This window comes from Homo sapiens, chromosome 3 (assembly GCF_000001405.40).
Source record: "Homo sapiens chromosome 3, GRCh38.p14 Primary Assembly".
NCBI classification, from domain to species: domain Eukaryota; kingdom Metazoa; phylum Chordata; class Mammalia; order Primates; family Hominidae; genus Homo; species Homo sapiens.
In genome coordinates this window covers 121,626,463-121,640,087 of record NC_000003.12, presented here as the reverse complement: position 1 = coordinate 121,640,087, position 13,625 = coordinate 121,626,463, and the positions used below count along the sequence as shown (strand labels likewise).

Here is a 13,625-nt window from a genome sequence, read left to right as displayed (position 1 = left end):
GATATGAAATGCCTATTTTCATTTCTGATCTTACTTACTTGTGTTTTTTCTCTTTTTAATTATTCTTACTAGAAGTTTATCAATTTTATTACTCTTTCCAAAGAACAAGCTTTTGGCTTTGCTAATTTTCTCTATTATTTACTTGTTTTAAAAAATGTATTGGTTTCTGCTCTTATCTTTATTATGTTTTTCTTCTACTTAGTATTAATTTAGTTTGTTCTTTTCCTAGCCTCTTAAAGTAGAAACTTAGATAATTGATTTTAAGCCTTCCTTTACTATATGGGCACTTGAAAAGCTATACATTTCCCTCTGAACACTACCTTCATTTGCTACAAACATTTGCTACATTCAACAAATATTTGAATGTGTGTGTTTTAATTTTCATTCATCACAAACCCGTGGTCCCAGCTATTCAGGGGACTAATGTGGGAGGATCACTTGAGCCCAGGAGGTTGAGGCTGCAGCAAGCCATGATTGTGCCACTACATTTTGGCCTGGGCAACAGAGTGAGACCCTGTCTCAAAAAACAACAACAACAACAACAACAACAACAACAAAAAATAAAATCATTCAGTTAAAAATATTTTCTTATTTCCCTTGTAATTTCTTCTTTGACACATGTATTATTTAAAAGCTGTTATTGATTTTCTGAGCATCAGGGAAATTTTCTAGATAATTTTATTGGTATTGACTTCTACTTTAATTCTATTGTGATCAGAATATGATCTCTGATATTTCAGTCTTTTGAAATGTACTGAGACTTACTGTCTTAGAGACTTATGGACTGGCACATGGTCTATTTGGTCAATGTTCTATATGCATGAAAAAAGTATATTCTGTAGTTTGGGGTATAGTGTTGTATAAGAGTCAATTAGGTTTATTAGTTGATAATGTTTGGATCTTCTATAATTTTACTGATTCGTTTTTGCCTAAAATACCTATTAATTAATGAAAGAATGGTGTTAAATGTTCAACTACTATTACAGATTTGTCTATTTCTCTTTCTACTTCTGTCAGCTTTTGCATTATTTGTGTGTGTGTGTGTGTGTGTGTGTGTGTGTGCGTGTGTGTGTGTGTTGGAGTCTTGCGATGTTTCTCAGGCTGGTCTCGAACTCCCGGGCTCAAGTCACCCTCCTGCCTCAGCCTTCTGAGTAGCTGGGACTACAGGCATTCACCACACCTGGTTTTTTACATTTTTCTTTTATTTGAGAGCTTCATGAATTTTGGTTCTGTGAATAGGTTTATGCCAGCATACATACTCCTGATGTAAGGTATTGTTCTTTTATCATTGGAGCATGTCTTTCTTGTCTCTTAGAATGCACTTTGTCTTGAGATCACTTTATCTCATATTCATGCCATCTTTCTTATGCTTACTCTTTCCAAAATGTATATTTTCCTGGATCAGTATTTAGTTAATTTCTCAGCTTAGAATTCCTGCATCACATAAGTGGAAAAAAAATGTGTATTTGCATTCTACACTCAGATGTAGGCTTGGAGTTTCCAAGTCTCATAAGCAAATTTTCCCCCTATCAAATATTGAACAGGTTACAAGCCCCCTTCATGATTTTCCTGAGTAAATGAGTAGAATTTTTCTAGCACTCTCTTATAGGAGTGGACAGAGCTTCGTTTCTGGCTTTCTTCCCTCCTCCCCCATTCTTAAATGGAAATTAGAATCACAGAGCCTCGATCCTAATCCCTATTCATTACATTTGGAATTTAAAATCTGACCAGGTGTGGTAGTTCACACCTGTAATTGCAGCATTTTGGGAGGCTGAGGTGGGTGGGTCCTTTGAGCCCAGGAGTTTAAGGCTAGCCTGGGCAACACAGTGAGATCCTATCACTACAGATTTTTTTTTAAATTAGCAAGTCATGGTGGCACCTGCCTGTGGTCCCAGTTACTCAGGAGGATTGCTTGACCCCAGGAGTTCAAGGTTACAGTGAGCCATGATTGTACTCTGCACTATAGCTTGAGCAAAAGAGCAAGACTCTACCTCTAAAAACAAAAAATCCCCCAAAAATGCCCTTGGGTTTTCTGTGGTGTCAGTTCATAATTATCTTCACACATACAGCTTTGATTCATCTCTTTGTCTCTGGTTTCTGGAGCCAGGATTTTTTCCCTTCCTTTCTGCTGAGCTTCACTTTTTTTTTTTTTGAGATGGAGTCTCGCTCTGTCACCCAGGCTGGAGTGCAATGGTGCAATCTTGGCTCACTGCAACCTCCACCCCCCATGTTCAAGTGACTCTCCTGTCTCAGCCTCCCCAGTAGCTGGGGCTACAGACGCACATCACCATGCCTGGATAATTTTTGTATTTTTTAGTAGAGACAGGGTTTCCCCATTTTGGCCAGGCTGGTCTCAAATTCCTGACCTCAGGTGATCCACCTGCCTCGGCCCCTGAAGTGCTGGGATTACAGGCATGAGCACCGTGCTCGGCCTGAGCTTCACTCTTTAAAACACAATTGTTATGTTTTATCTGACATTTCTATGTGCTTATATGGGAGTAGGGGAAAGGCATACATTTCATGTATCTGCCTTTTTTTTTCTGCAATCTCCTCACTCTCTATACTTTCCCCTTCTTGAAGAAGAAGGGAGAAAATGGGAATGTTCTTCTCATCTTGGCATGGAAATGAGAGAAGAGAGGGAAAAAGTAAGCAATATTCAATTAAAAGACTACTTAAGACATGGCTTCTCTTTAATTCCCCTGTATTCAAGCCCTGCTCTTTTCCCAGGCCCCTAACACTCTGTACCCATTCCTGCTGACCTCTCTTCTCCAGCGCTTCCCTGTGTGCTGGAGCCTAAGGGTGGGCTCTCATGACTGCTCCTTCGACCACAGATTACTCTCGTGGCTTTGGTGGCCGGTACGGGGTGGAGAAGGATAAATGGGACAAAGCAGCTCTGGGATATGACTACAAGGGAGAGACGGAGAAACACGAGTCCCAGAGAGGTGAGTTGGGGTTGGAAGGGGGAAGGTCACAGATAGCACAGGGATCTCCTTCCTTCCTTTCTGGAAGCTCACCCGGGTGCCCCAGAATACAGAGGGGCAGATGTGCAGAGCAGGGGGTGCCAGGGCAGTAAGCACATGTGTGGGGACAGGTGGTGGTAGTGAGGGGAGAGAGGAGAGATGGAGAGGAAAACAGAAGGATTAAGAGCAGGGCCTAGGAGGGAGGTGAGAGAGAAGGGGGCGTTGAGGAAGGAATGAGGACAGACAAGCTGAGTGATGGTCAGAAGATGGTTTGCCATGAGTCTTAGAGGGATCTCTGCTGTCCTCACAGAGGATAAAGAGGTTTACTGCTTCCCTGGAACCCATACGGATGGCTGAAGTGCTCTCTGTATTTTTTCCTATTTCTTTTACATTTTTCCTTATCTGTTGCTTTCTGCTTTCCATGTTTCCCTACTTCCATCTTTGTCTTCTCCATTCGCTCCCAGATTTTTTCCCCATCTGTTTCCCTCTCTTCCCATCCATGCCTCCCTCTATCCTCTGATTCTCACATTTCCTCCTACATTTGTTTTCCACATTCCTGTTTTTCTTCCCACTGATTCTTCTCACCACCCATTCCCAGCATTTTGATCTCCTATAACTCAGAACTTTCTGTCCTGCAGATTATGCCAAGGGCTTTGGTGGCCAGTATGGAATCCAGAAGGACCGAGTGGATAAGGTAAAGCACCGGAACACCAATGTCTTAAGAAGAGTTCCCTAAGTTTAGGAAAGTGTGCAGAGAAGAGCGTGAAGAAGGCTGGGAGAGGGAGGGGACGGTGGTGCTGGGCACACAGAGCCTGTCCTGCTGGCGTCCTGCAGTCCCCACTGACTGCCCTCAGCATCTAAGGGGCATGTCTGCCAAAGCCTGAGCTTTGAGGACAGTGGGAGAGGCATACAGAGAGACAGGTAAACCGCCGGGAAAGGTCGTATTGGACTGGAAATTGTATTGATTTCTTGGCATTGCTTAACCCAATCTTAAGTCTCTTCCCACCCCATGCCACTGTCCTCCCTACACTAGTTCCTCCTCATGCATGAGCCAGGGGGCCCTGCTACATTCTAGGCAACTGGGCTTGGAGATGTGAGATTCTAAGGTCACTGAGCTGCTGAAAGGGGGAGCTGAACTCAGCACTTAAGAACTTCTTTACCCCCTCTCTACCACAAAACAACATTGGAACATGCTGTCCAGCTGTTGAGCATCCAATGGTTAGGGATACCTCTTATAGTGGCCCCCAACCCCCAATACTACCTCCAGGTCACCACTACCCTTGCCCCTCTCCCGCAACACACATGCTGTTCTCCTGCCTGCAGAGCGCTGTCGGCTTCAATGAAATGGAGGCCCCGACCACAGCTTATAAGAAGACGACGCCCATAGAAGCCGGTGAGGCTTAGTGATTCACTCTCCATGCACCTCACTTCCTTCTCCCTCATTCTTTTTCTTCCCCAGACTATATCCTCCATGCCTTTAACTACCTAGATTAGCTGAGTTAGACCTGATCCCTATCCTCATATTCCCAGATTCTGTCTTTCCTAGAAAAACCAGGTAAGGCGGAGCTCACATCTGTAATCCCAGCACTTTGGTGGCTAAAGTGGGAGGACTGCTTGAGCTCAGGAATTTAAGAACAGCTTGGACAACATGGGGAAACCTCATCTCTATAAAAAATACAAAAATTAGCCAGGCATGGAGGTGCACACCTATAATCCCAGCTACTTGGGAGGCTGAGGCAGGAGAATCACTTGAACCCAGGAGGCGGAAGTCGGAGTGAGCTGAGATCATGCCACTCAACTCCAGCCTGGGTGACAGAGTGAGACGAAAGAAAGAGAGAGAGAGGAGAGAGAGGAGAGAGAGAGAGAGAGAGAGAGAGAGAGAGAGAGAGAAAAGGGAGAGAAGAGAGAGAGAGAGAGAAAGAAAGAAAAGAAAGAAAGAGAGAAAGTCAAGTGGATAGACAGAGTGACGTCGGGGAAGGAATCGGAGGCAGAGAACACAGTGTGGCTTGGGACAGGGGTGGGGTGGCATGGGAACATTGGTGAGGAACCACTTGGGAAGAACACACAGGGACAGGAGTTTCGGATGAGGTTGAGGATGAGTGGTGGCTTGAAGAAGGCATACAGATTTATGGAATATGGACAGGGGAGGATGCTTTTTGGAAGCCCAAAGTTTACAATTTAGAAAGGACACAAGTCAGCTGGGCATGGTGGCTCACACCTGTAATCCCAGCACTTTGGGATGCTGAAGTAGGATAATCACTTGAACCCAGGAGTTCAAGATGAGGCTGGGCAACACAGCAAGATCCCCTCTCTACAAAAAATACAAAAATTAGCTGGGTGTGGTGGTGCACATCTGTGGTCCCAACTACTCCAGAGGCTGAGGTAGGAGGATTGCTTGAGCCTGGGAGGTTGAGGCTGCAGTGTCCCATGACTGCACCACTGCACTCTAGCCTGGGCTGAGACCCTGTCTCAAGAAAAAAAAAAGACACGAGTCTTAGGTCGTATAGCCTGGCTTTATAAAAATCCAGGCTTCAGGGCTATGCCATCCTCCTATTATCCCTTGTTCCTCTATCGATACCTCTTTACCATCCTGTCCCACAAATCCCTCCTCCCGGATATTTAACTGATTCCCCTTCTTCCTTCAAGTGCCATGCCCTTCCCCACTCTCCAATCCAAGACAACCCTAATTTTTCTTGCCTGTGTCTGCAGCTTCTAGTGGTACCCGTGGGCTGAAGGCGAAATTTGAGTCCATGGCTGAGGAGAAGAGGAAGCGAGAGGAAGAGGAGAAGGCACAGCAGGTGGCCAGGAGGCAACAGGAGCGAAAGGCTGTGACAAAGAGGAGCCCTGAGGCTCCACAGCCAGTGATAGCTATGGAAGAGCCAGCAGTACCGGCCCCACTGCCCAAGAAAATCTCCTCAGAGGTGAGCGCCTGGCCCTCTGGGATCCACATCCAGGATCTCTTGCCCAGACAGGAGCCTAAGGGGTCCAAACCATTGGCAGAAAATAAGGCAAAGTCCTCCCCTGGGTTAGGCAAGGTCTGTTGTCTCTGTCTTTAGAAGACTTCAGTCTGACTGTAATTGGACCTCCTATCAGAATGTTAGAAAAAACCCTCAAGATTTACATAGTACAACAGAAAGCAAGTCACCAGCCAGCACAGCCAATTATTGCTGTAGGAACTATGAGGAAGGGGCCGTCACTTCAGGCTGGAGCCCATCTTGAGGGATGAGTTCCATTTGAATTGGCAGAGAGTGGGAGAGGGTGTTCCTGGTAAATGTAACAGTGAAGACATGCATGGTGTGGTGGCTCATGCCTGTAATCCTAGCACTTGAGGTGGCCAAGGTGAGAGGATCACTTGAAGCCAGGAGTTCTAGACCAACCTGGGCAACATAGTAAGAACCTATCGCTATAAAAACAATTAAAAAATTAGCTGGGCATGGTGGTGTGTGCCTATAGTCCCAGCTACTTGGGAGGCTTAGAGAGGAGGATTGTTTGAGCCCAAGAGTTTGAGGCTACAGTGAGCTATGATCTCACTGTGCTCCAGCCAGGGCAGCAGAGTGAGACCCTGTCTCAAAAAATGCATAAAATAAAATAAAAAGAATGAAGATGGGCCGAGCGTGGTGGCTCATGCCTGTAATCCCAGCACTTTGGGAGGTCAAGGCAGACAGATCACGAGGTCAGGAAGTCAGGAGTTCAAGACCAGCCTGACCAACATAGTGAAACCCTGTCTCTATTAAAAATACAAAAATTAGCCAGGCATAGTGGCGTGTGCCTGTAATCCCAGCTACTCAGGGGGCTGAGGCAGGAGAATCGCTTGAACCTGGGAGGCGGAGGTTGCAATGAGCTGAGATCGCACCACTGCACTCCAGCCTGGGCTACAGAGCGAGAGTCTATCTCAAAAAAAAAAAAGGAGTGAAGATGGAGGCTTGCTTACTTGAGAGATGCTTCATTTTCCACAGGCCTGGCCTCCAGTTGGGACTCCTCCATCATCAGAGTCTGAGCCTGTGAGAACCAGCAGGGAACACCCAGTGCCCTTGCTGCCCATTAGGCAGACTCTCCCGGAGGTAAGCAAACCCCCAAAGATTCTCTGCCCCCACCCCATCTTCTCGAGTCTTAGGAATGTGGGCTGTGCAGGGTGGCCAACCATCCTGGTTTGCCTTGCACTGTTCTGGTGTTAGCACTGAAGACCTTGCCTTCTGGGAAACTCCTCTGTCCTGGGCAAACTAGTATAGATGATTATCCTAGCTGTGGTAGCTCAACAATGTGCTCTTGCTTCAATGTTTTCTTGGTCTCCCAAAGAATCTGACTTGTTTTCTACTTCCCTCCCCTCACACCTTTTACATTCTCTTCCCATTGTCTCTGGAATGTGTTTTGGGTGGGTGGGTGTGGGAGGAGATTGAAGAATGAAGATGGATGAAAGGCTGTGTTCCCCAGGAGAGGCTGTTAGATGGAGGCAAGGGTAGAGGGGAGAAGAGGCAGGGTGGTGAAGGGCGGGGGATCTTATCAGTCCTCCATTGATTCCTCCTGGAAAGTGGAAGTCACAGTGCTCCACACTGTCTCTTCTCAGGACAATGAGGAGCCCCCAGCTCTGCCCCCTAGGACTCTGGAAGGCCTCCAGGTGGAGGAAGAGCCAGTGTACGAAGCAGAGCCTGAGCCTGAGCCCGAGCCTGAGCCCGAGCCTGAGAATGACTATGAGGACGTTGAGGAGATGGACAGGCATGAGCAGGAGGATGAACCAGAGGGGGACTATGAGGAGGTGCTCGAGCCTGAAGATTCTTCTTTTTCTTCTGCTCTGGCTGGTGAGTGATGGGAGGAGAAGCAGGAGAATTTGCTCATGTCCAGGGGAGGGTAAGAGGAAGAAGAATTTCTCTATTGCCCCAGTAGGATCTTTCTCTGTTTGCCTTCTTCATGTTGATGATCCCATGTTTGTGTTTCTCATTATGCAGGATCATCAGGCTGCCCGGCTGGGGCTGGGGCTGGGGCTGTGGCTCTGGGGATCTCAGCTGTGGCTGTATATGATTACCAAGGAGGTAGGTTGGGAGTGGCCCGAGGAGCCTGGTACATGGAGGCCCCTGATATAAGACAGGGGGACATGTGAAAAGAGATTCATGTCTGACCATTCTAATATCCCCTCAACTTTCTCCCCAGAGGGAAGTGATGAGCTTTCCTTTGATCCGGACGACGTAATCACTGACATTGAGATGGTGGACGAGGGCTGGTGGCGGGGACGTTGCCATGGCCACTTTGGACTCTTCCCTGCAAATTATGTCAAGCTTCTGGAGTGACTAGAGCTCACTGTCTACTGCAACTGTGATTTCCCATGTCCAAAGTGGCTCTGCCTCCACCCCCTCCCTATTCCTGCTGCAAATGTCTAACCAGATGAGGTTCTGGACAGACTTCCCTCTCCTGCTTCATTAAGGGCTTGGGGCAGAGACAGCATGGGGAAGGAGGTCCCCTTCCCCAAGAGTCCTCTCTATCCTGGATGAGCTCATGAACATTTCTCTTGTGTTCCTGACTCCTTCCCAATGAACACCTCTCTGCCACCCCAAGCTCTGCTCTCCTCCTCTGTGAGCTCTGGGCTTCCCAGTTTGTTTACCCGGGAAAGTACGTCTAGATTGTGTGGTTTGCCTCATTGTGCTATTTGCCCACTTTCCTTCCCTGAAGAAATATCTGAACCTTCTTTCTGTTCAGTCCTAAAATTCGAAATAAAGTGAGACTATGGTTCACCTGTATGCTGAGGTAAATAGTACTTTTTGTGTGGCCCTCATGGCCTCAAATCTTAAGGCTCCAACCTTTCCTCTTCCAGGCATATCCAGGAAACTTTCTCTTACCACTGCCAATTCCCCTGTACCCTAGATGTCAAAGACTAGGCCTTTTCCTTAGGCTGAACTTTTTTTTTTTTTGAGAAGGAGTTTTGCTCTGTCACCCAGGCTGGGGTGCCGCAGTGTGATCTCAGCTCACTGCAGCCTCCACTTCCTGGGTTCAAGAGATTCTCCTGCCTCAGCCTCCCGAGTACCTGCAACTACAGGCGTGCACCACCATGCCCGGCTAATTTTTGTATTTTTAGTAGAGATGGGGTTTCCCCATGTTGGCCAGGCTGATCTTGAACTCCTGACCTCAGATGATCGCCCCCCGCTTAGCCTCCCAAAGTGCTGGGATGACAGGCATAAGCCACTGCACCTGGCCTCCTTAGGCTGCATTTTAAACCCAGTCCAAAACAGATCAGCCTGAGCAATGGCTGGGCATGGTATTGTGGGCCTATAGCACCAGCTACTCAGTAGTCTGAGGTGAGAGAATCACCTGAGCCTGGGAAGTCAAAGTAAAGGCTTCAGTGAGCTGTGATCACACCACTGCACTCCAGCCTGGGCGACAGAGTGAGAAGCTGTCTCAAAAAAAAAAAAAAAAAAGAAGAAAGAAAGAAAAGATGGAGAAGGCACTGGGATCAAGGAGGAGCTAGAATGGTTGCTAAGACCCACAGTTAGTTGCTCCAGGGCTTCATAGAGTTGGTGAGCTGCCCAGCAGGGTGTCCAAGGGAGAGAATTCAGCCATGGGTTCATAGTTTCTGTTTCTGGTTGGGCCAGTAAAGCCCCTTTGTCATTCCTCTGTTCTGCTTATCACTAGAGACAGAAACTAAAAACCATGGCTTCAGGCTGCTAAAAGCCTAAAACAAAACAAAACAGAACAACAACACAATAAGGCAGGTTGGACAAGTTTGGTCTCAGGCTTGTGCTCTGGTCTTTCTTCATGATACACACTTGGTTTCAGCGACAACTTCTATGCCTGTGAATCACACATCTGTCTCTAGACCTAACTTATAAGATTCACCCAATTAGCCTTTCAGAGTGCAAAGCAGCTTTTATTTCCTCTTCTAGAGATGTTGAGGTTTCTAGTATACAGAGGTCAGTCACCACAGATATACTCAATCTCATTCTTCATTTCAGTTTGATTTGACATCACACATAAATCAGACTTTTATAGTGATTTTCGTGACGTATCTTCAAGTTCCACCTTGCTTTTCACTTTTTCCTTTGTTGTGAGATAGAAACTTCTTTTCCAGACCCTTATGCTACTAAGGCAGTAAGGTCCTCTCTGGCCCAGTTCTACAGACCTCAGCCTCCATATTCGGCTGATCTCTACTCTGGACTGCCTTTCTTGGTGATGATACTCACCAAGGGCTCTGCCCATAGACATCCTCCCTCCCTGTGTACACAGTCCGTCTTTGCTCCCCTCAGCTGTTTCTAAATCTGAAGCCACTTCTAGCTGTCTTGCCTCTGTCAGGTAACACTCGCTGTTCATGCTGTTCACTCCAGCTTCCTCTCACAAATCATTTCTGTCTAATCCATAGTCTCTCTGAAAGGCTTTGGTACCGCTGCCCTCTCACTATGAAGTGTGCTTGTCTTATTGAAGCTCGTGCTTCAGTACGGCTCTGAAGGCAGCAACTGGAGGGGGAGAGTGCGGCTGGAAGTGCACAACCCACAAAGCAGTTGTGGGCAGTGCCACTCTCCTGAACCAAGGCTTCCCCAGCTCACCCAGTTTGGGAAGGGAAAGCCTTCTGCCCTCTTCCTTTCTCTATGTAGCACCTTATTTCTCCTCCATCTGTCGATAGCCCCTGATTTTCATCTCCATTGGTCTATAGTTTCCCTTTCTATTTCTATTAAAATCACAAACCCAGAGTGGACTTTAGGAGCTTTTATCCTCCATGTAGGAAGGACTAGATTCAAAACACGTCGAACTACCACCTGGACAACTCTCTTCCTTCCTTCCCACTGCAGTGTTAGCTTCTTTCCAGTTACTCATCTTCACAGAATAAAACCTTAGGTCACACCCTAGTCATATTTTTAGAAAATGGTGCCTTATATACAAATATGAAATACAAACCAAAGGATGGGATTAGGAAAAATAGAGTGACATTACCAAATAGTACCGAGTGGCACATTACGATGAAAAGATGAGCATGTTTCTGGTCTGGGACTTGCTCTACTGCCTTCTAGACTCTTTTCAGAGGTTTCACCTACTTCATCTACACCAGCTCTGAGCCATGTTTAGAGAGAACCCAGGAAATAAAAGCACCCAGATTGACTAGATTGTTTCTTTTGTTGGCTAAATTCTTTATCCTCTGCTTCCCTACAATGCCTGTCCTTTTCTTTTCCGATTTCCCACTTGCTTGAGGACTGCTAGGACTGCTGGGAAAATGACACCAATTACAGTGAGAGGAATATAAACACAAGGCTAATAACTCAACGCTCCTGGCTTCAGGTATAACCAAAGAGAGCTGAAAGGATACATTCTTGGGGGTGGCTGAAGGACATGAAGCCATACCAAACGAATCATTTCCTTCTGGTTCCCAACTTAAAATCACCACATGTCTAAAACCTATTTCATAAATAAAGAGCTGCATTAAATCATAACTATTGTGGATAGCTATGTGCGATAAGATTTTGCTGTACTAAAAAATAAGCATATCCTAACTTATTGTCACTAGTATGACATCCTTTAGGGATTTTCAACGGGGAGCCATTTTGCTCCCCAATATTTAGCAATGTCTGGTGACATTTTTGATTGTTGCCACTGTGGGGGTGCTACTGACATTTAATGGATAGGCCAAGGATGCTGCCAAGTATCCTGTAGTACACAGAACAGTCCCTTGCAACAAAGAATTATCCAGTTCAGGCAGGGCGCAGTGGCTCACACCTGTAAACCCAGCACTTTGGAAGGCCAAGGCGGGCGAGTCACCTGAGGTCGGGAGTTTGAGACCAGCCTGAACAACATGGAGAAAGCCCGTCTCTACTAAAAATACAAAATTAGCCAGGCGAGTAATCCCAGCTACTCGGGAGGCTGAGGCAGGAGAATCGCTTGAACCCAGGAGGCGGAGGTTGCGGTGAGCCGAGATCATGTCATTGCGCTCCAGCCTGGGCAACAAGAGTGAACTCCATCCCCTCCCCACCTAGAAAAAAAAAAAAAGAATTATCCATTTAAAAATGTCAATAGTTCCAAGGCTAAGAAGCCCTGCTTTAGGGGATGCCAGTTTCTACTGTGTCTTTTTTTCTTTTACTTTTGTTCTTATGAATATTCACTGTTTGTTACCAAAAACAGCAGTATCATCCATTTTTGTCAGACTGAAAGCATGACCAGAAATATGGATGGGTAGGAGCAATTTCAGGGAGCCGTTATGTTCACATGTCTTCCTCTCCAAGACCCCAATGGGGTACCCAAGTGCTGTCTAGGAGCTGGTGACTGGCGCCATAGGAACTGCAGTGGGCCTTGTCTGGACTTTGCCAAAGGTGTGATCTCCCTGGGCTGCCCTGTGCATTCTGGCATGACGCTGAGGTTGGCATTAGTGTATTGAGGTCATTTCAGATAGCACAGGGTGGCCCAGGGCCATGGCTATGTTCTGCCTAACTCAGAACATAATTTTCAGAAGAAAAAAATCTTGACCCTTAAGTCATTATTAAAATGTTACAAAGTAAGTTGGTGACTTTTTGTCCTAATGTTCTCCATAAATATGGTGTCTCCTTTGGACTCCCGATTTATCAAGGCTTTCCTGCTGTATGTTGCCAAGATTCTAGCAACAGACTCTGTGATCCCATTTCTGCCCCTCATGTTTTGGCCTGTGGTGTCTTCAAGGCTGCCATGCTCAGCCAGGGGCTCTCCTATGTCAGGCTGTGTTAGGACTACCCTGGCCTAGAGGCAGTAGAATAACCAAAATGAGCCCTGGACTTGACCGTCAAAACAGACCCAGCTCCAGAGCCTCCAGCTTTGTTCCCTTCACCCTGCGTTCCCTGGGGAGTCCCATCCTGCATTTCCTGTCCCATAAATTTGAAAGTGCTTTGTGAACTAAAAAGCCCATGTAAAAGCACAGGCCTGTACTGGTTATGGAATTTCGTGCTCTCTCATCACTTAAGAAATTGGGCCCATCTTCCAAATGGCCTCAAATTACTTATTTTCTTCTCAGACCAATCTATTTTAGAAAGAAAGAAAAAAGAAAAGAAAAGAAAAGAAAAAAGGAAACAAGTCATCAATGTGGCACTATGGTACAAGACATGGCTTAGGAAATTCTTAGGCCTCGTGTTGAGGTTTCGAAGGACATTGCGTGTTCCAATACACCCCGATAAGCAAATAGGCAGTTTACAGAAGGGAGTCCTCAAAACCACACACTCTGTCCTACTTCAGGAACTCCGAGAAGAAATCCAAGAAGGGTGCATCGAGTGGCATCTGAATTTTTAGGAGACGTATCTTCCTCGTGGTCTGATTCTAAAGGTGGAGACTAAGCTCTCTCGGGCCTGCTCACGGGGCTGACACATGCTAGTCAAAAGAATCGGGTCAGTTTTGTGCTCTACAATGTTGAAAGGACAGGACTTCAGGTGCTCAGACATGGAGGTGACTTCATTAAACTCCCAGCTCTTGATTTTGGAGAAGAGGCTGCTGAACTGCCAGATCTGTTGAGAAAGATAGAAGTTCAAAGGTGAATATAGGGGTGTTACCCTCTGGCTGGCTTTATTTGGGCACTATAAGGAAATATCCTCCTGTTCTTCATATTCTTAGACTCCAGAGTGTTTAGTGGCTCCTGCAGACATTTGGTAGCCCCTCCTCCAGCATCCAATTCCTAGTTCCCCCTGCCAACCAATAATCTTCCCAACCAGCCCTGTAGTTGTGAGAATCACTAACACC

The 13,625-nt window shown here is 46.4% G+C and overlaps 2 protein-coding genes across 3 annotated transcripts in view, besides 2 other annotated features; one reads left to right on the top strand and one right to left on the bottom strand.

Moving 5' to 3' along the window:
• HCLS1 (hematopoietic cell-specific Lyn substrate 1) overlaps positions 1-8,689 on the top strand; it is a 29,505-nt gene extending 20,816 nt beyond the window's left edge. Inside the window, exons 7-14 of one of the 2 annotated variants that reach the window (NM_005335.6) lie at positions 2,832-2,942; positions 3,599-3,654; positions 4,284-4,353; positions 5,670-5,881; positions 6,917-7,021; positions 7,525-7,756; positions 7,904-7,987; positions 8,106-8,689. In NM_005335.6, coding sequence (NP_005326.3) covers positions 2,832-2,942; positions 3,599-3,654; positions 4,284-4,353; positions 5,670-5,881; positions 6,917-7,021; positions 7,525-7,756; positions 7,904-7,987; positions 8,106-8,242 — 1,007 coding nt within the window. In that variant the 3' untranslated portion in view covers positions 8,243-8,689. The remainder of the gene's footprint in view (positions 1-2,831; positions 2,943-3,598; positions 3,655-4,283; positions 4,354-5,669; positions 5,882-6,916; positions 7,022-7,524; positions 7,757-7,903; positions 7,988-8,105) is intronic. The other variant, NM_001292041.2, reaches the window with a different exon arrangement.
• Positions 9,014-9,063: an enhancer, noted in NCBI's record as "active region_20344". NCBI's record gives its function as "activates an Ori minimal core promoter by ATAC-STARR-seq in GM12878 lymphoblastoid cells {active_cell/tissue: GM12878}" and the evidence as "EXISTENCE:reporter gene assay evidence [ECO:0000049][PMID:35858748]".
• Positions 9,104-9,253: an enhancer, noted in NCBI's record as "active region_20343". NCBI's record gives its function as "activates an Ori minimal core promoter by ATAC-STARR-seq in GM12878 lymphoblastoid cells {active_cell/tissue: GM12878}" and the evidence as "EXISTENCE:reporter gene assay evidence [ECO:0000049][PMID:35858748]".
• The window catches only part of FBXO40 (F-box protein 40), a 36,917-nt gene continuing 33,084 nt past the window's right edge, over positions 9,793-13,625 (bottom strand). Inside the window, exon 4 of the mRNA NM_016298.4 lies at positions 9,793-13,393. Within this exon, the coding sequence (NP_057382.2) occupies positions 13,178-13,393 (216 nt within the window). The 3' untranslated portion in view covers positions 9,793-13,177. The remainder of the gene's footprint in view (positions 13,394-13,625) is intronic.